Source organism: Homo sapiens, chromosome 11 (genome assembly GCF_000001405.40).
Source record: "Homo sapiens chromosome 11, GRCh38.p14 Primary Assembly".
Lineage (NCBI taxonomy): Eukaryota > Metazoa > Chordata > Mammalia > Primates > Hominidae > Homo > Homo sapiens.
The window spans coordinates 90084583-90105913 of NC_000011.10; the positions used below are offsets into that span (position 1 = coordinate 90084583).

At 38.8% G+C, this 21331-nt stretch overlaps 1 protein-coding gene across 1 annotated transcript, besides 2 other annotated features; it reads left to right on the forward strand.

Moving 5' to 3' along the window:
- Window positions 1–1367: 1367 nt before the first annotated feature.
- UBTFL1 (upstream binding transcription factor like 1) lies at window positions 1368–2549 on the forward strand. The gene has a single exon (NM_001143975.1). The coding sequence runs from the start codon at window positions 1368–1370 to the stop codon at window positions 2547–2549; it is 1182 nt and encodes a 393-aa protein (NP_001137447.1).
- Window positions 10885–11540: an enhancer, noted in NCBI's record as "OCT4-NANOG-H3K27ac-H3K4me1 hESC enhancer chr11:89828635-89829290 (GRCh37/hg19 assembly coordinates)". NCBI's record gives its function as "activates a minimal SCP1, AML or CMV promoter by ChIP-STARR-seq in primed H9 embryonic stem cells {active_cell/tissue: H9 hESC(primed)}" and the evidence as "EXISTENCE:reporter gene assay evidence [ECO:0000049][PMID:30033119]".
- Window positions 19579–20080: an enhancer, noted in NCBI's record as "H3K4me1 hESC enhancer chr11:89837329-89837830 (GRCh37/hg19 assembly coordinates)". NCBI's record gives its function as "activates a minimal SCP1, AML or CMV promoter by ChIP-STARR-seq in naive H9 embryonic stem cells {active_cell/tissue: H9 hESC(naive)}" and the evidence as "EXISTENCE:reporter gene assay evidence [ECO:0000049][PMID:30033119]".

The window sequence follows — 21331 nt, forward strand, 5'->3', positions numbered from 1 at the left end:
TTAGTCTTAGAATAGAAGATCATCCTAAAAAGACTAGTGAAAGAGTTATGAGAATTTCAAGAGTGAATCCAGAAATCACGTGCCAGAAGAATTACTTCAGGCAAGACAGAATTGCTAAAAAAAAAAAAAAAAAAAGGAGTAGTCATCAGATCTGCCACATTTTCAAGTTTTGTAATGGAAAATGGCAGGTATTCTGGAGGGAGTTTCTGGAGGAAGCCAAACTTTCACTGAGGCTTAAATATGATGAACAATTAACCAAATAAAGTTGAAATGTTTTATAATTGTCATTAAATCCTTGATATTTAAAAGGAGAAGCAGTATGGTTCTTAGAAAGCATTCATTCCCGGCCCAGGAGTGGTGGCTCACGCCTGTAATCCTAGCGCTCTGGGAAGCCGAGGCAGGCGGATCACCTGAGGTTGGGAATTCGAGACCAGCCTGGCCAACATGGTGAAACCCCATCTCTACTAAAAAATACAGAAAAATTAGCCAGTCGTGGTGGCACATGCCTGTAATCTCAGCTGCTTGGGAGGCTGAGGCAGGAGAATCACTTGAAGCTGAAAAACAGAGGTTGCAGTGAGCCCAGATTGCCCCACTGCACTCTAACCCGGGCGACAAGAGTGAAACTCCGTCTCAATTAAAAAAAAAAAAAAGAAATAAAAGAAAGCAAGAAAGCATTAATTCCCATGCACTGGTCCTGGAGAATCTATAATTCAGTCTTTTATCACAGGTTCACATTCCCTTATAAAAAGGTAACAGTTGGATGCATGTCTGGAGGAGCTCTTGGGCTTGTCCGATTGTATCTTTAACTTCTCATCTGCACCTTTAGCTATGGCTATTTGGGCTGTGCTTAGAAAATGGCCATACTCAGGGCACTGTAGAATGAACAGTCCTTCCTGTTTAGGCATTTCTCCTTCCACTTTAACTTCTGACTCTGTCTTCAGGGCATTTCTGTTATATTAAGCTTCTTAAGTGATGAGTGGTCTGGTGTTTGTGTTATGCAACTCAATTTAAGATAGGTTCATGTGAGATCTGGCAGAAAGCAGGCTGGGGTGGGGTGTGGAGATACTGAATATTGTGCATGTAGCATATGAAAGGCAAACATAAATTTAATTCAGAAACAGGCAATGTTTATTTATAGTTAAGGGTCAAATGAATTATACAAGGGACATATGACAAATAGGATGTAATTTGCTTCATTAATCCAAATGAAGGAGAGTAACTTTCTTTCTCCTCAGAAATACAGAATCACACATACTGCAATACTTCCAGAAATAAATCATCCACTGAGTCTTAAAAGTAAAGAACTCTGTGTTCTTGCTCTGGTGTCTACATAACCGGGATCTTATAAGTAAGCCAAAGACATCTAAATGGCTTTGCCTAGAAGCCAAGGCCATTGGTCCAACAAAGACATCTTGAGGTTACTGGAATGCATGGAGAATAATCGCCCATCTGATGACAACAGCACGTTTAGCTCAACTCAGTCACACATGGACTGGGGAAAAGTAGCTTTTAAAAACTTTTCTGGTGAAATGTGCAGACTCAAATGGTTAGAGATTTCTTGCAACTTGAGAAAATTCGGCACTTTGAAAGAATTAGTCCTGGAAGCTAAGAAATGTGTTAAAAAGATGAACAAAAGCCAAAAATACAGGAACGGTCCAGACTTTCCAAAGAGGCCCCTTACTGCTTACAATCGCTTCTTCAAGGAGAGTTGGCCCCAGTACTCCCAAATGTACCCTGGGATGAGAAGCCAGGAACTGACCAAAATCCTGTCAAAGAAATACAGGGAACTCCCAGAGCAGATGAAACAGAAATATATTCAGGATTTCCGGAAGGAAAAGCAAGAATTTGAGGAAAAACTTGCTCGATTCAGGGAAGAACACCCTGATTTAGTCCAGAAGGCCAAGAAATCTAGTGTCTCCAAGAGGACTCAAAACAAAGTGCAAAAGAAGTTTCAGAAAAATATTGAAGAAGTGAGGTCTCTTCCAAAAACGGATCGATTTTTCAAGAAGGTAAAATTTCATGGAGAGCCTCAGAAACCCCCCATGAATGGATACCACAAGTTTCACCAAGATTCCTGGTCAAGTAAAGAGATGCAACATTTGTCAGTGAGGGAGCGCATGGTAGAGATTGGCAGACGCTGGCAGCGCATCCCGCAGAGCCAGAAGGATCATTTTAAGAGCCAGGCTGAGGAGCTGCAGAAGCAATACAAGGTGAAATTGGATCTCTGGCTCAAGACTTTGTCACCTGAAAATTATGCTGCATACAAAGAATCGACCTATGCTAAGGGTAAGAATATGGCCATGACAGGAGGCCCGGACCCCAGGTTGAAACAAGCAGATCCACAGTCCTCATCAGCAAAGGGTCTGCAAGAAGGGTTTGGGGAGGGGCAAGGGCTCCAGGCTGCAGGAACAGATTCATCACAGACTATTTGGGTAAACTGTCATGTCTCCATGGAACCAGAAGAGAACAGGAAGAAAGATAGAGAAAAGGAAGAAAGCAGTAACTCTTCAGACTGCAGCAGTGGAGAAGAAATAGAAGTTGATGTCTGAGGGCAGTGGCTCTAGTGCAGCTTCCTTGTTTTTTTTTTTTTGTTTGTTTGTTTTCTTTTCTTCCTTCCTCCCGCAAAGTAGGACAGGTTGGGAAGAAAGAAGCAACTTGGTGCAGCACTCTCCTACATCAAGATTATGAACCTGGGAGGAACTCTTTGGGAAGAATAAATATAAGTTTGAGCCAATACTGGCCTTATCCTTAAAAAAACAAACAAACAAATATCATCCCTTTCCCGAGGAACTTTATGCAATTAAGGCTTCTGAAATGAAGAGATGATTACGTTGTGGGGTACACACTGTATTAGACTGAATATTTCTGAAGCAAGAAGCTTTGCTTTACTCATTTTTGTCCTGCCAAAGGTGGTAGGGGGATACCCATAAGCCTGGGACCCAAACTTCCCTGTGGAAATGTTTTTCAGGACTCCTGCACTAAATCTAAGGTCGGGGATATTTGATGAAAGGTGGGGTAGGTGTCTTAAGAGAATTGTCCCACTCTTGATATCTCTCTCCTCCCCTCCCTGAAGTAAGGAGTTGGCCATTCCCATGCCTGGGAGTAGGGAGTAATATTTCTACATGTATATCTGACTCAGTTCTCAATTAGACTTTTCTTGCTTATTTCAAAAAAAAAATGAAAATACAAAATAAAAAGTTACTGATTTAATCTGAAAGAGCTCCTCCACAGAATCATTTGTGACACTGGGTGCAGCTTCTCTAAGTTATATCTTCATTTATTCTTGAAGCTCCAAATTTTTCCTGCTGCTTCAGGTGCAAGTGAATCTCACCTTTAGCATTCAGGATTGATACAAAGATGTAGAGAAAGACAGATATAGATGAGTACACTATCCTGTTTCACTATCTGCTCTATCTAAGAATTCATGCACCAGTGTCACATTGTTTTAATTTTTTGGTTTACTAATATGTTTGAAAATCTACCTAAAGTTAGTGCCTTCTCAGTATACCTTTATTCTATTAAACATTTCTGGCTATTTTCATACTTCGTTCTCATGAATATTAGCATCACAGAACTAGTTGTATTCTTTTTGTATAAAAACCATTGAATAATGAGTGTTTATTTTGTCCCTAGATATCTTAGGAAAATTTTACTTATAAGTTTTTTCTAAATAAATAATAAGTTTCAGAGAATAATGGCAATGTTTACCATTTTTATACCTCTAATTTCTAAATGTGTTGGATTAAAATATCCAGAAGAATGTTAAGTAACAACAATAATCTGTTCTTGGCTTGCTTCTGACTTTTAACCTAATGCTTACAGAATTTAAAATCATGAAAATTATGCTGATGTGTACATTTGAAATAAATTATTAAAAATAAGAAAATTGCTATTTACTTTTATTATTATTTGCTTTTAATTTTTAATGCATATCGATTTTTAACAAATTTATTTTATCATATATTTATGTAATTTTTTCTTACTGTATTAGTCATCATCCTGCAGAGAAACAGAACCACCAACATAGATAGAGAAACAAAGTGACAGAGAGAGTGATAGAATAGTAGAGAGGAGAGAGACAAAGAGACTAATTTTATTATGAAGAATTGGCTCACAAAATTGTGGAGGCAAAAAATATCATGATCTGCAATCTGCAAGCTGGACACTTAGGAAAGCCAGAGGTGTAATTCAATCTGAGTCTGAAGGCCTGGGAAGCAGGGCAGCCAATGGTGTAAACCCTAATTCAAGTGTAGGTGAAGATAAGACGAGATATACTAGTTAAGCAGTGAGACAGGACAGAAAGGGTCACACTCCTCTATCATCTGCCCTTTGTTCTATGCAGGCCTTAAATGGGTTGGATAATGCACATCCCATACTGGGGAGGGAAGCCTACTTTACAGAGACCAGTTCAAGCTGACACATACAATTTACCATCATACTTTCATTTTCTTACAGATTCTGGAGATTTAGGTATTTTTATACGAATTCTAGATGGCTGATGGGTTGAATTTTTTTTTTTTTTTTTGAGACAGAGTCTGGCTCTGTTGCCCAGGCTAGAGTGCAGTGGAGAGATCTCGGCTCACTGCAAGCTCCACCTCCCGGGTTCATGCCATTCTCCTGCCTCAGCCTCCCGAGTAGCTGGGACTACAGGCTCCCGCCACCACTCCTGACTAATTTTTTTTGTATTTTTATTAGAGACGGGGTTTCACCATTAGCCAGGATGGTCTCGATCTCCTGACCTTGTGATCCACCCGTCTTGGCGCTGGGATTACAGGCATGAGCCACCGAGCCCAGCCAATGGGTTGAACTTATTTAGAAAATGTGTTTGCATATTATGTCCTTTGTTTCTCTTAACATCAAGTTTGCAAAATTAACTTTAAAGATCTGATTCTTTTTATTTCCAATTCAGGAGATAATGTAAGTCACATTTGCCACTAACTAGTAGTAAGGCCCATAGCCCAGGCTAGATGGTGAGATGTACAAATTCAATTGGGGCTTTAGTAGTGATTTTAAATGAAATGTTTTTAAGTTTATTCAGCACCTACTCTTTTTAAGACTTGCCCTCCTTGTGTGGGATACAGAGATTAAAGGTACAATTCTTTTTTGTTTGTTTGTTTTTCATTTTTTTAATTATACTTTAAGTTTTAGGGTACATGTGCACAATGTGCAGGTTAGTTACATATGTATACATGTGCCATGCTGGTGCACTGCACCCAGTAACTCGTCATCTAGCATTAGGTATATCTCCCAATGCTATCCCTCCCCCCTCCCCCCACCCCACAACAGTCCCCACAGTGTGATATTCCCCTTCCTGTGTCCATGTGATCTCATTGTTCAATTCCCACCTATGAGTGAGAATATGTGGTGTTTGGTTTTTTGTTCTTGCGATAGTTTACTGAGAATGATGTTTTCCAATTTCATCCACGTCCCTACAAAGGACATGAACTCATCATTTTTTATGGCTGCATAGTATTCCATGGTGTATATGTGCCACATTTTCTTAATCCAGTCTATCATTGTTGGACATTTGGGTTGGTTCCAAGTCTTTGCTATTGTGAATAATGCCGCAATAAACATACGTGTGCGTGTGTCTTTATAGCAGCATGATTTATAGTCATTTGGGTATATACCCAGTAATGGGATGGCTGGGTCAAATGGTATTTCCAGTTCTAGATCCCTGAGGAATCGCCACACTGACTTCCACAATGGTTGAACTAGTTTACAGTCCCACCAACAGTGTAAAAGTGTTCCTATTTCTCCACATCCTCTCCAGCACCTGTTGTTTCCTGACTTTTTAATGATGGCCATTCTAACTGGTGTGAGATGGTATCTCATTGTGGTTTTGATTTGCATTTCTCTGATGGCCAGTGATGATGAGCATTTTTTCATGTGTTTTTTGGCTGCATAAATGTCTTCTTTTGAGAAGTGTCTGTTCATGTCCTTGGCCCACTTTTTGATGGGGTTGTTTGTTTTTTTCTTGTAAATTTGTTTGAGTTCATTGTAGATTCTGGATATTAGCCCTTTGTCAGATGAGTAGGTTGTGAAAATTTTCTCCCATTTTGTAGGTTGCCTGTTCACTCTGATGGTAGTTTCTTTTGCTGTGCAGAAGCTCTTTAGTTTAATTAGATCCCATTTGTCAATTTTGTCTTTTGTTGCCATTGCTTTTGGTGGTTTAGACATGAAGTCCTTGCCCATGCCTATGTCCTGAATGGTAATGCCTAGGTTTTCTGCCAGGGTTTTTATGGTTTTAGGTCTAACGTTTAAGTCTTTAGTCCATCTTGAATTGATTTTTGTATAAGGTGTAAGGAAGGGATCCAGTTTCAGCTTTCTACATATGGCTAGCCAGTTTTCCCAGCACCATTTATTAAATAGGGAATCCTTTCCCCATTGCTTGTTTTTCTCAGGTTTGTCAAAGATCAGATAGTTGTAGACATGCGGCGTTATTTCTGAGGGCTCTGTTCTGTTCCATTGATCTATATCTCTGTTTTGGTACCAGTACCATGCTGCTTTGGTTACTGTAGCCTTGTAGTATAGTTTGAAGTCAGGTAGCATGATGCCTCCAGCTTTGTTCTTTTGGCTTAGGATTGACTGGACGATGCGGGCTCTTTTTTGGTTCCATATGAACTTTAAAGTAGTTTTTTCCAATTCTGTGAAGAAAGGCATTGGTAGCTTGATGGGGATGGCAGTGAATCTGTAAATTACCTTGGGCAGTATGGCCATTTTCATGATATTGATTCTTCCTACCCATGAGCATGGAATGTTCTTCCATTTGTTTGTATCCTCTTTTATTTCCTTGAGCAGTGGTTTGTAGTTCTCCTTGAAGAGGTCCTTCACATCCCTTGTAAGTTGGATTCCTAGGTATTTTATTCTCTTTGAAGCAATTGTGAATGGGAGTTCACTCATGATTTGGCTCTCTGTTTGTCTGTTGTTGGTGTATAAGAATGCTTGTGACTTTTGTACATTGATTTTGTAACCTGAGACTTTGCTGAAGTTGCTTATCAGCTTAAGGAGATTTTGGGCTGAGACGATGGGGTTTTCTAGATATACAATCATGTCGTCTGCAAACAGGGACAATTTGACTCCCTCTTTTCCTAATTGAATACCCTTTATTTCCTTCTCCTGCCTAATTGCCCTGGCCAGAACTTCCAACACTATGTTGAATAGGAGTGGTGAGAGAGGACATCCCTGTCTTGTGCCAGTTTTCAAAGGGAATGCTTCCAGTTTTTGCCCATTCAGTATGATATTGGCTGTGAGTTTGTCATAGATAGCTCTTATTATTTTGAAATACGTCCCATCAATACCTAATTTATTGAGAGTTTTTAGCATGAAGGGTTGTTGAATTTTGTCAAAGGCTTTTTCTGCATCTATTGAGATAATCATGTGGTTTTTGTCTTTGGCTCTGTTTATAGGCTGGATTACATTTATTGATTTGCGTATATTGAACCAGCCTTGTATCCCAGGGATGAAGCCCACTTGATCGTGGTGGATAAGCTTTTTGATGTGCTGCTGGATTCGTTTTGCCAGTATTTTATTGAGGGTTTTTGCATCAATGTTCATCAAGGATATTGGTCTAAAATTCTCTTTTTTGGTTGTGTCTCTGCCTGGCTTTGGTATCAGAATGATGCTGGCCTCATAAAATGAGTTAGGGAGGAGTCCCTCTTTTTCTATTGATTGGAATACTTTCAGAAGGAATGGTACCAGTTCCTCCTTGTACCTCTGGTAGAATTCAGCTGTGAATCCATCTGGTCCTGGACTCTTTTTGGTTGGTAAGCTATTGATTATTGCCACAATTTCAGATCCTGTTATTGGTCTATTCAGAGATTCAACTTCTTCCTGGTTTAGTCTTGGGAGAGTGTATGTGTCGAGGAATTTATCCACTTCTTCTAGATTTTCTAGTTTATTTGCGTAGAGGTGTTTGTAGTATTCTCTGATGGTAGTTTGTATTTCTGTGGGATCGGTGGTGATATGCCCTTTATCATTTTTTATTGCGTCTATTAGATTCTTCTCTCTTTTTTTCTTTATTAGTCTTGCTAGTGGTCTATCAATTTTGTTGACCCTTTCAAAAAACCAGCTCCTGGATTCATTAATTTTTTGAAGGGTTTTTTGTGTCTCTATTTCCTTCAATTCTGCTCTGATTTTAGTTATTTCTTGCCTTCTGCTAGCTTTTGAATGTGTTTGCTCTTGCTTTTCTAGTTCTTTTAATTGTGATGTTAGGGTGCCAATTTTGGATCTTTCCTGCTTTCTCTTGTGGGCATTTAGTGCTATAAATTTCCCTCTACACACTGCTTTGAATGCGTCCCAGAGATTCTGGTATATTGTGTCTTTGTTCTCATTGGTTTAAAAGAACATCTTTATTTCTGCCTTCATTTCATTATGTACCCAGTAGTCATTCAGGAGCAGGTTGTTCAGTTTCCATGCAGTTGAGCGGTTTTGAGTGAGATTCTTAATCCTGAGTTCTAGTTTGATTGCACTGTGGTCTGAGAGATGGTTTGTTATAATTTCTGTTCTTTTACATTTGCTGAGGAGAGCTTTATTTCCAAGTATGTGGTCAATTTTGGAATAGGTGTGGTGTGGTGCTGAAAAAAATGTATATTCTGTTGATTTGGGGTGGAGAGTTCTGTAGATGTCTATTAGGTCTGCTTGGTGAAGAGCTGAGTTCAATTCCTGGGTATCCTTGTTGACTTTCTGTCTCGTTGATCTGTCTAATGTTGACAGTGGGGTGTTAAAGTCTCCCATTATTAATGTGTGGGAGTCTAAGTCTCTTTGTAGGTTACTCAGGACTTGCTTTATGAATCTGAGTGCTCCTGTATTGGGTGCATATATATTTAGGATAGTTAGCTCTTCTTGTTGAATTGATCCCTTTACCATTATGTAATGGCCTTCTTTGTCTCTTTTGATCTTTGTTGGTTTAAAGTCTGTTTTATCAGAGACTAGGATTGCAACCCCAGCCATTTTTTGTTTTCCATTTGCTTGGTAGATCTTCCTCTATCCTTTTATTTTGAGCCTATGTGTGTCTCTGCACGTGAGATGGGTTTCTTGAATATAGCACACTGATGGGTCTTGACTCTTTATCCAATTTGCCAGTCTGTGTCTTTTAATTGGAGCATTTAGTCCATTTACATTTAAAGTTAATATTGTTATGTGTGAATTTGATCCTGTCATTATGATGTTAGCTGGTTATTTTGCTCGTTAGTTGATGCAGTTTCTTCCTAGTCTTGATGATCTTTACATTTTGGCATTTATTTTGCAGTGGCTGGTACCGGTTGTTCCTTTCCATGTTTAGTGCTTCCTTCAGGAGCTCTTTTAGGGCAGGCCTGGTGGTGACAAAATCTCTCAGCATTTGCTTGTCTGTAAAGTATTTTATTTCTCCTTCGCTTATGAAGCTTAGTTTGGCTGGATATGAAATTCTGGGTTGAAAATTCTTTTCTTTAAGAATGTTGAATATTGGCCCCCACTCTCTTCTGGCTTGTAGAGTTTCTGCCAAGAGATCCGCTGTTAGTCTGATGGGCTTCCCTTTGAGGGTAACCCGACCTTTCTCTCTGGCTGCCCTTAACATTTTTTCCTTCATTTCAACTTTGGTGAATCTGACAATTATGTGTCTTGGAGTTGCTCTTCTCGAGGAGTATCTTTGTGGCGTTCTCTGTATTTCCTAAATCTGAATGTTGGCCTGCCTTGCTAGATTGGGGAAGTTCTCCTGGATAATATCCTGCAGAGGGTTTTCCAACTTGGTTCCATTCTTCCCATCACTTTCAGGTACACCAATCAGACGTAGATTTGGTCTTTTCACATAGTCCCATATTTCTTGGAGGCTTTGCTCATTTCTTTTTATTCTTTTTTCTCTAAACTTCCCTTCTCGCTTCATTTCATTCATTTCATCTTCCATCGCTGATACCCTTTCTTCTAGTTGATCGCATCGGCTCCTGAGGCTTCTGCATTCTTCACGTAGTTCTCGAGCCTTGGTTTTCAGCTCCATCAGCTCCTTTAAGCACTTCTCTGTATTGGTTATTCTAGTTATACATTCTTCTAAATTTTTTTCAAAGTTTTCAACTTCTTTGCCTTTGGTTTGAATGTCCTCCCGTAGCTCACAGTAATTTGATCGTCTGAAGCCTTCTTCTCTCAGCTCGTCAAAGTCATTCTCCATCCAGCTTTGTTCCGTTGCTGGTGAGGAACTGCGTTCCTTTGGAGGAGGAGAGGCGCTCTGCTTTTTAGAGTTTCCAGTTTTTCTGTTCTGTTTTTTTCCCATCTTTGTGGTTTTATCTACTTTTGGTCTTTGATGATGGTGATGTACAGATGGGTTTTTGGTGTGGATGTCCTTTCTGTTTGTTAGTTTTCCTTCTAACAGACAGGACCCTCAGCTGCAGGTCTGTTGGAATACCCTGCCGTTTGAGGTGTCAGTGTGCCCCTGCTGGGGGGTGCCTCCCAGTTAGGCTGCTCGGGGGTCAGGGGTCAGGGACCCACTTGAGGAGGCAGTCTGCCCGTTCTCAGATCTCCAGCTGCGTGCTGGGAGAACCACTGCTCTCTTCAAAGCTGTCAGACAGGGACATTTAAGTCTGCAGAGGTTACTGCTGTCTTTTTGTTTGTCTGTGCCCTGCCCCCAGAGGTGGAGCCTACAGAGGCAGGCAGGCCTCCTTGAGCTGTGGTGGGCTCCGCCCAGTTCGAGCTTCCCAGCTGCTTTGTTTACCTAATCAAGCCTGGGCAATGGCGGGCGCCCCTCCCCCAGCCTAACTGCTGCCTTGCAGTTTGATCTCAGACTGCTGTGCTAGCAATCAGGAGACTCCGTGGGCGTAGGACCCTCCAAGCCAGGTGCCGGATATAATCTCGTGGTGCGCCATTTTTTAAGCCCGTCGGAAAAGCGCAGTATTTGGGTGGGAGTGACCCGATTTTCCAGGTGCCATCCGTCACCCCTTTCTTTGACTCGGAAAGGGAGCTCTGTGACCCCTTGCGCTTCCCAAGTGAGGCAATGCCTCGCCCTGCTTTGGCTCGCGCACGGTGTGCGCACCCACTGACCTGCGCCCACTGTCTGGCACTCCCTAGTGAGATGAACCCGTTACCTCAGATGGAAATGCAGAAATCACCGTCTTCTGCGTCGCTCATGCTGGGAGCTGTAGACCGGAGCTGTTCGTATTCAGCCATCTTGGCTCCTCCCCACAAAGGTACAATTCTTGACAGCATGACACTCAGAGTTAAAGATGGTATTATTTGGCTTAAAAACCACAAATACTGACAAATATAAACTAAACTTATGAGTTTGCTATTTTACTAAAATATCATTGGTTAAAATACTGATCTCTTTGCTTCTCTGTTACCTCATCTATACATTCATGAACTGGAAATAAAATTATGGTTAGATTAGGCCAGGTGTGGTGCCTCATGCCTATAATCCCAGCATTTTGGGAGGCTGAGTAGGCCAGATCACTTGAGGTCAGGAGTTCAAGACCAGCCTGGCCAACATGGTGAAACCCCATCTCTACTAAAAATACAAAAATTATCCAGATGTAGTGGTACATGCCTGTAATCCCAGCTACTCAAGAGGCTGAGGCAGGATAATTGCTTGAACCTGGGAGGCAGAGGTTGCAGTGAGCCCTGATTATACCAGTGCACTCCAGCCTAAGTGACAGAGCAAGACTCCATCTCACAAAACCAAACAAAACAAAAAAATTACAATGAGATTAGATATAGGTAAATGTTAGACTTAATGCTTATAAAGTACCTAGCTCACAGTAGATTTATAGAAAATGTTAGGCTGTCACCTTTTTTTCTTCTTTGTTTCTTTCATCATCCATATTTCTCCTTTACTTAATTCCAATGAAAACCTTTAAGTAATGCATATTATGTAACAATATATATTACATTAAATAAATTTAAATGCAATTAATGATATTTATCTGCAATGCACATAAAGACCTACTACCTTGCTAGAATTTGGTCCCAAATTTGACCCAAGTATACCAGAAATGTTTTAAAATAGTGTTGTGGATTGTGTCTGTGTATGTGTGTATGTATGTGTGTGTGTGTTTGCGTGTATACATATATATATACACACTATATATTTGTACATAATAATGAGAGAGCGTTGAATGCAATGGCAATTGATAGAAAGTGCAGTACAATTTTTAAAATGTAAAAATGTTTCTGAAAGGAAATTAAATCAAAATTTGTCCTTGATATAACAAGTATTAATTCAAAAAGGAAGTATTGGAAGTGCAAGTGATGTCCAGACAGAGGAAACAGCATACCCAAACATTCAAAGTGAAGAAGGCCATGATGCTTGTGGAGAATCTACTTCTACATTTCTTTGTTCCAGTCTTCTGTTACACACAGCTCATGGAAACTGCTAAACACACTGAGATCCAGTTTAGAGGCATTTCTTGTTTACACATTTTTAAAAATTTCACCTTAAAAATTCTGAAAATATAGAGAGGTACAGTGTGCTTTCAGACTATTTCCAAACTTCTAAAGAAAAACAGAGAAAAACTAGGTTAACAAAATTAAAATTCATGAACAATATTTACAACAACACTGGGTAACAATGTGCCCTACAAAAAATCCCCAGTGTAAATAGTGACAGACAAATCAGGAAGACCTGCAATATCCATGAGGAATCAGAATCCTTTCAAGATTAAGCAGAGAGGGTGAACACAATATATTATGGATTTGAGAACCCCCAAGTCAGCAACAAGGATTCATTAGAAAGTGGGCAAGGCAATTAAAAAACAGCTACGGAAACTAAGTAGGGTGGGAGTTTGCACACATCAATAAGCAAGAGTCCAGGATGAGATAAAAAAGAGGCTGGGACCATATGGCTTCTACAACTCTTAAAATAACCAGACCAAATTCTCTTCCAGGATCAAGTTCCGTATTGAGAAGAATTTACTGTAAGTAAACTACATATTAAACAAGGCTGACACAATAGGGCCAAAAAAAGAGAAGGCCCACCTTCTCTTTTTATATATATATTATATATATATATATTATATATATATAATATATAATACTGTATATATATTATATATACAGTATATAAAGTATATATTTATATATAATACATATTATATATAAATATATAAAGTATATATTTATATATAATATGTATTATATATAAATATAGAAAGTATATATTTATATATAATATATATTTTATATAAATATACACTTTCTATATTTATATATAATATATAATATATATAAATATATAAGGTGTATATATATAATATATATTATATATAAATATATAAAGTATATATTTATATATAATATATATTATACATACAATATATAAAGTATGTATTTTTATGTTATATATAAATATATAAAATATATATTTATATATAATATATATTATATATAAATATATAAAGTACATCTATAAAATATATAAAACATATGTTAATTATATATAATTAATTAATATATATAAATTATATATAAAATATAAAGCATATCATATAAAATATATAATATATAATATATTGTATAAATATTTATATATTATATATTTTATATGATATAGTTTATAAATCATATAAAAATTATATATATATATAACATAGGGCTCAATTAGTTTCTGCTAGTGTGGAGAGAAGTCATATGGCTAAGGGCCATGATGGTAGGAGCAGTCAGAGGATTTCTTGCGTTATGATGAATGCATATAAGTTATATGAGCCACTTATGAGTAGATTTCATAGCAGGATAACAGTTATATCATTGATACCTAGGCAGTACATGACACTCAATAAAGAATAGATTAATCCTCATGCTCTTCATCTTCCTCCTAATCTCTTTACCTGTGCTGCCCTCCAGCTTTCAAAGTGCTCTCAGAGTCATCACTTACACAGTGTTCCTTTGCTTCCCCTTCAGTGGGCCAGTGTTTCTGTGCCCCAGTGTTCCTGCGAGATAGAACACAGAAAACAGAGCAGGCTCTTGCCCACATCACAGAACATCTTTGTCTCCCTGTGGATCCCGCACATTTGTTCATTAGAGCTCAGGAATTGCCAGAGACTGGCTTTTCTCACAATGGACACTAGATTCTTCAGAAGAATATCGGTTTTGAAATCTTCCTGCTGTGACGGTTCCCTGCATGCAGGGCAGGAGTGTGGGCTTCTTCCCAGCAAAGGCAGAGGCAGGGCCTACAGAAACTGTGCCAGCAGCCTATAGTGATGGGGTCTATGAGGTAATTCAGGCAGATGAGGCAGGTGAGTTCTTTCTGGAAGGCTTGTGGGAATTCTAAGTCCATTTTTCTGAGGGAAGAAACCCAGAAGAATTTATTCTTATGCCATAGAGAGACAAAGATCTATGCAAAGTTTGAATCAGGTTTTGAGTAGGATCAGCTCACAAGTTTAAATCTATAGCAGGATAGAATTTTATTTTACACATAACGAAAATGAAAAACTGAGGCACAGAATTCAAGCTTTGCAGAAAAATGTGTTGGCTCCCTAACGAACACACACACACACCTACTTTCCCAAATTCTTTCCTCCTGTATGAAAAAAAACTTAAGGCTGGGCACAGTGGCTCACGCTTGTAATCCAGCACTTTGGGAGGCTGAGGCAGCAGGATTGCTTGATCCAAGGACTTCAAGACCAGCCTGGGCAACATGATGAGACCCTGTCTCTACAAAAAAAAAAAAAAAAAGAGGAAAAAAATTACCTGAGCATGCCTATAGCCCCAGCTACTAGAGAGGCTGAGGTGAGAGGATTGCTTGAGCCCAGGAGGTCAAGGCGGCAGTGAGCCATAATCCAGCCACTATACTCTAGCCTGAGTGACAGAGCAAGACTGTCTTAAAAATGAACAAAGAAAGAAAAGAAAGAAAGGAAGAAAGAGAGAGAGAGAAGAAGGAAGGAAGAAAAGAAGGAAGGAAGTTTACAGAGTTTTTTGAAGTGTTAGTGTTCCCTAAATTTTATGGTCTTCAGAGGTTTACCCTCCTATAGCTTCAAGGGGTGAGTCCTGACTGATAGGAAAATCAGTCACACTCTTACTTGCCAGTGATTCATTTAGGGAAGACAGCTAACTAAGCTCTTCCACTTTGATTATTTCATTTAATTGTTAACAACCATCTTATCATGACTTCTTCAAAATTACCCTGCCAGTAAGTGTTGGAGGCCTCCCCAGAAGCAGAAACCACCATGCTTCCTGTATAGCCTATGGAACCATGAGCCAACTAAAGGTATTTCTCGGTTATTTCTTAATATCTTTGGCCAAAATTAAAGAGTTAGGCTTTACTCTCCAAGATACTGCAATAGACAAAAACAAGCCACCACTGTTTTCTAATGTTGTTTTCTTGTTAATTCAATCAACAAGTATTTTCTGGTAAGTTTAGTGTTCCAGAGACTGTTAACCTGGTGATGTACTGGTTAATAAAACATCCTCAAGAGAATTAAATGTTTAAAAATAAACCAGATGATAAAATGCAGTAGTGTACACAATGCCACTTAACCACATGTCTTCTGTCTGTCACCCATGATCCAGAAAATGTCTTTAGTATAAGCCATTGGTAAAGATGCATGAAAAATTTACATATAGAAGACATAGTCACAAAATTATTTTTTTCCTTTGATATCCCTTGTTACCTCAAATAGAATTTACCACTCCAATTCGATTTCTGAATACATGGGAGTTAATAGAATACTCCTAATCCATTTATAGGATCTACACTAAGTAAAAAAATTAAAGACATCTGAAAACTACTTTGTGAGTCCTTATACTCCATATCAATAGTCATGGAATATATTAAGTAATAGGCCAAAAATTAATCATCATATTAACCAAAAACACATAGTAAGACAAGGTAACTAAATATTTTCATTTGGAAATTGGGAAATTTAGTCAATTTTAAAACTCAGCACATGAGATCATTTCACAGAAGGAACCTAGGTTTGCTGGCAAATTATAATTAGGACATTTTTGTTTTGGTTTGGGAGGGTAGTTCCTCTTCTGTAAATTGTGTACTCACTTAAGAAATATATCTATTTTCTCACCGACGCTTGCTGTAGAGGTAATACTATGAAGTTAGCTCAGGGATCAGGACTCCACATTGCGGTGCTGGTAGCTTTTTTTTTTTTTTTTTTTTTTTTTTTTGCACTGCACCTTGAGTAAAAGTTTCCTGAGGCCTCCCCACAAGCAGAAACCACCATGCTTCCTGTATACCCTATGGAACCATGAGCCAACTAAAGGTATTTCTCATGTATTTCTTTATAGCAATGCAAGAACATACTAATACAGCTAAGCAGAGGCCATCAGGACCAGCAACAGTCTGAGCTGGATGAGAGACAAAGCTAAACTTTGAGAAGCAGCAGGAGCTGCCAGGGGACAGAAAGGAAGGATGGAGTCCTAAATTCCAGGATGTCTCCTTTAAATCTGTAAGAAGCTCAGCCACTGTCTTTTTACCTGACTCCTCTGGGAAAGAGTTTCCCTAGGTTAAGCCATACAGGGATAGGGCAGGAGATGCCATTTGGATCTAGGAGCAGAGGTCAGAGACTCAGCAGGAAGAGTGTCTCTATGAGAAGCAGACACAGTGGAGCAGGTGCATAGGTTCACAGGGCCAGCTATGGGTAGAGTCGGGTGTACATTTTTAGAAGCCACAATTCCCAAAAATCTCCTGACTATAACATCAGTGCACAGAGCCAGTCAAATGGAGGAGGAGTGGGTCCAGGCAATTCAGGAAGAAGGAAAGTAAAAAATGAGTGGTTTCAGGAGAACACTTTCTCTGTCGAGGTCACTAGACAGAACATTGTAGCCTCACCTTAACTTCGGAAACAAGCAATGGAGGGTAAAAGTGTTGCCTGGGCCCTGGGAGCAAAGGCAGTAGATAACTTCTCTGTTGTGTCCTCCAGAAGGGCCTAGTCCAGCCTCACAGGCCGAGAAGTCTGTTCAGTTCCCAAGTACTAGAGATGCTGCTATAAGGGATCCCTGAATTTCCTGCCCGGACCACAGGCTCCCCGGCCTTTTCTTCCTGTTTTATTTTTTCCCAGGAAGAAACTTGCCTGTATAATTACAAGGTTCTATGATTCTAAATTCCAACCTAGCCTTCCACATCGTTTTGAAGGTATAATATTATTTGTCAGAGTGGGATGATAGAAGATATGTGTGCACATAAAATTAAGTTGTTGACAAGGAAAAAAACTAAAATAAAAAAATAAGAGAGAAAAAATATGTATGTACAGTGGTTAGCTAGAAATATGCCTTTTAAATATTTGACATGTGGTATGTGGGCCTCAATGTGTACTATTGCACTAGCTTCACAAATATTAAAGGATGTCTTTTAAAAGAAAAACCTCTTGCTAAAAGGTTAACAGTCAAAATAACCCGAGTGGCACAGGTACCAGTCATTAAGTGAAACCTTTCATCTTCCCAGTATAGTACCTGTTCCCAAGCCAGCTTCTTTGAAAATCACTTTTCTCTCTTTTACTATTTAGTTTATAAATTGCATAGTAACAATACAGAAACCACAATAGCAGAAAAAACTAATAAAGAATATTTTTAAATGAAAACTCACATCCTAACTCTACCAAAACATGGTAATTAAACCTGAATGCCTCCCTTTCCTGATATATTTTTTCACCTAAATATTCAGCTCTGGGATTGCATTGTCTTTGGATTGAGTGAAAATTATTGCCTGGTCTCTAAATCTTCCATAGTGTGTGTGTGAGTGTGTGTGTGTGTTGAATGTATTTCTTTTTGTTCAGAGCAAACTTTTTTCAATATGTATATATAGATATATATATTTAGGCAGATTATGCCAGTAATTTTCTACAAATGTGCTTTTTTAAAAATAATCTTTAATTAAAAAAATAATTATTATTCTTATCCAGTGGCCCATAATTTTTAAAAACACTACTAATAGAGCTGGGTATGGAGTCACACACCTGCCATCCCAGCTACTTGGGAGACTGAGGCAGGGGTATTTGCTTGAACCTGGGAATGTGAAACTAGCCTGGGCAACATAGTGAGACCCCCATTTCAAAAATCAATCTGTCATTTAAAAATAAAATAAAATAAAACAAAACACTACTAATAGCTTTTTAAAAAATATTTCTTAACCAATTTTCCTAGCACCTTCCTTTCCTCAGTGAAGTATAGAAATATGTTGTCAGGGACTGTGGCTTACACCTATAATCCCAATCATTTGGGAAGCCAAAGCATGAGAAACAGTTGAGTCCAGGAGTTCAAGACCAGCCAAGGCGACATAATGAGACCCAGTCTCTAAAACAAATTTTTTTTTTTTATTACCAGGGCATGATGGTGCATGCCTGTAGCCCAGCTACTTGGAAGGCTGAGGTAGGAGAATCGCTTGAGCCCAGGAGGTCAAGGCTGCAGCGAGCCATGGTTGTGCCACTGCACTCCATACCTAGGTGACAGAGTGAGACACAGTATCAAAAACAAACAAACAACAAAAAAAAGTATTTGTTTTAGAAAAAACATTTGGTGAGGTTTGGGCTTAAAAATATATTATTCTAAAATGTTCATAAATATTCTCTAGTAATGATAAGATTAAAGTGACAAAGACAAATTTTTTCCTGTGCAGTTCTATCTCTCACCTTCCCATAATTTGTCTGTCCCATCCAGCTTCCTAAGGAAATTATTTACAAAATAATGTCTGCATCGTGGGTCTATATATCTGTTGCCTATGAGGAGAGCATTTAAGATCTGAGCCATCTTCAAGTCTTATACTTTGTGTATGGCTCTCATGTTTATGCAGGTTAAGTAAGTTTGTATGCCCTTTCTCTTATTAATCTGTGTATGGTCAGTTCATTTCGGGTAATCGTCAGAGGGTGAAAGGGGAAGCTTTTCACTTCACTCCTACTGTGACGGCCAACTACCTTCTTACTTATTCAGTTTTTTAGTATATATCAACACTTTTATATACCTTTAATTTTAAATAAAATTTTGCATCATTTCACTTAAAATTGTATTTACCTTTTAAAAAGGAAATTAAAAATAAATTTAAAAAATATAAAATTTTAAATAATAAAAATAAATGATTTATATAAAAATTAATCTGACCTGTGAAAAACACTATCAAGAGAATAAAATGACAAGTCGTAGACTAGGAGTAAATATTTACAAAAGCTATATCTGGTGAAGATATATTTGTTATCCAAAATATACAAAGAACTCTCAGGACTCAATATAAGAAAACAAATAGTCCAACACAAATGTAAAGATCTGAACAGACATTTCACCATAGAAGACAGATGGATGATAAATAAGCACATTGAAAGATGTTCAACATCATTCATCATTAGAGAACTGCAAATTAAAACCACAATAAGATACTGCTACATCCCTATTAGAATAGCTAAAATTTGAAAGACTGACCATACTAAACATTGGTGAGAACACAAAGGAACTGGAATGCTCATACACCGCTGCTGGAAATATTAAACAGTATAGACACTTTGTCAGTTTCTTTAAAAGTTAAACATATCACACCACCTAGTCATTCAAATCCTGCGTATTTACCCAAGACAAATGAAAGCGTATGTCCAAACGGTTGGACAAACATTCATAGCAACTTTATTTGAAATAGCAAAAACAACTGGAAGCAACCCAAATGTCCATCAAGAGGTGAAAAGATACACTAACTGTAGAATATCCATACAATAAAACTATCTTTTTTTAACTACGGGGCAAAAAACAAAAAACCAAAGATAGAATCTAACTTCTTGGTAAATACCTTCACTATTAGGGTTTTTTATAACAGAGAATTCATTCTTTATTAATACTCTTGACTATGAAAATATTTTGACATCAGAAATCTGCAAAATATGAATAAACAAGCAAACAAAGGACACACAGCTTTTTTTATTTTTATTTTTATTTTATTTTTATTTTTTTTGAGACAGTCTCGCCCTGTTGCCCAGGCTGGAGTGCAGTGGGGCGATCTCCGCTCACTGCAAGCTCTGCCTGCCGGGTTCACGCCATTCTACTGCCTCAGCCTCCCGAGTAGCTGGACTACAGGCACCTGCCACCACGCCCGGCTAATTTTTTGTATTTTTAGTAGAGACGGGGTTTCACCGTGTTAGCCAGGATGGTCGGATTGTCTTGATCTCCTGACCTCGTGATCTGTCGCCTCGGCCTCTCAAAGTGCTGGGATTACAGGCGTGAGCCACCGCGCCCGACCCCAGGACACACAGCTTTAAAAGCTCTCCTTGGTCTCACCCAGTGCCAACCAACTAAAACCTCTCATTTTCCCCCAGGCATTTCTTCTGCCTCCAGGATGGAGGTACAGAATCTTGGCCTTGGGCCACGCACTGGGGACCATGCTGGGCTGCCGTGGTCAGCGACAGACTCAGGTTCTCACCAGGAGCCCCAGGATAAGCCCCTGAAAAAAAATGTTACCCATCAGGGTGTGCTCCCTGATTCTTGTCTCTGCTGGAAGGAGGAAATCAAGCCAGGAACATTGTCAGGAGAGAGATGAAAATGGGGCTCAGGTTTCTGTCTCTTGTGATGTCAGACAAACCTTTCAGCTCCATCTCCTCAGCCCTCATGGAATTGTTCGGTGTGGACGCACTGAGATTCTGAACTGGGTCCCCTCTCCCTCTGCCTTTCTCTGGGGCCAGATCCTGAGCTCTCCAATCCAATTTTTCCCCCAATTTGACCTTGGATTTATGTATCTCAATTACTGTCTGCCTGTCCCAAAGAATAAAAGCTGTATCGCAGCAGGGACGTTGTTTAAAAAAATAATAATAACAGCTATATTTTTAGGATCCATGACACTGTCCAGCATATCGGTGGTATATGATAAAAAAGTTTGTTGAATGAATGAACAAATATATTATTCACAATGTCACATTATCCTGAACTGACAAGAAAATTAAATATCTGATGTCAGTATTGGCAACATTATGAAGTAAATATAATTCTGATACAGTACTGGTGAAAATCTAACAAGAGATGCTCATTTTAGAAAACATTTTCTTGTAGATTTGAAAATGTTTAATCTCCATGAACTAGTTGTATATCTGCAAGTTGTGTATCTTTGGGTTAGGCATCTGCCCCCCACCAAAGACAGCCACATCCCAGTCTTCAGATAAGGTGAACATGCTACCTTATATGCTAAAAGGGGCTTTGCAGATGTGATTACCATTAAGGGCATTGAAATGGGGAAATTACCTTGAATTATCTTGGTGAGTCCAATCTAATCTCATAATTCCTTGAGAGCAGAGAATATTTTCTGGATGCAGAGATTCAGACAGATGGCAGTATGAGAAAGATGTAGCCTGCTATTGCTGGCTTTTAAAACAGTGGAAGGGGGCCACAAGCCAAGGAAAGCCAGTGACCTTTAGAAGCTGGGAATGACCCAAAGTTTACAACCAGGAAGAAACCGAGGATC

Bases quoted from the DNA above. Each gene is read 5' to 3' on its own strand.
- UBTFL1 (NM_001143975.1), top strand. From the start codon at position 1,368: ATGGCTTTGCCTAGAAGCCAAGGCCATTGGTCCAACAAAGACATCTTG.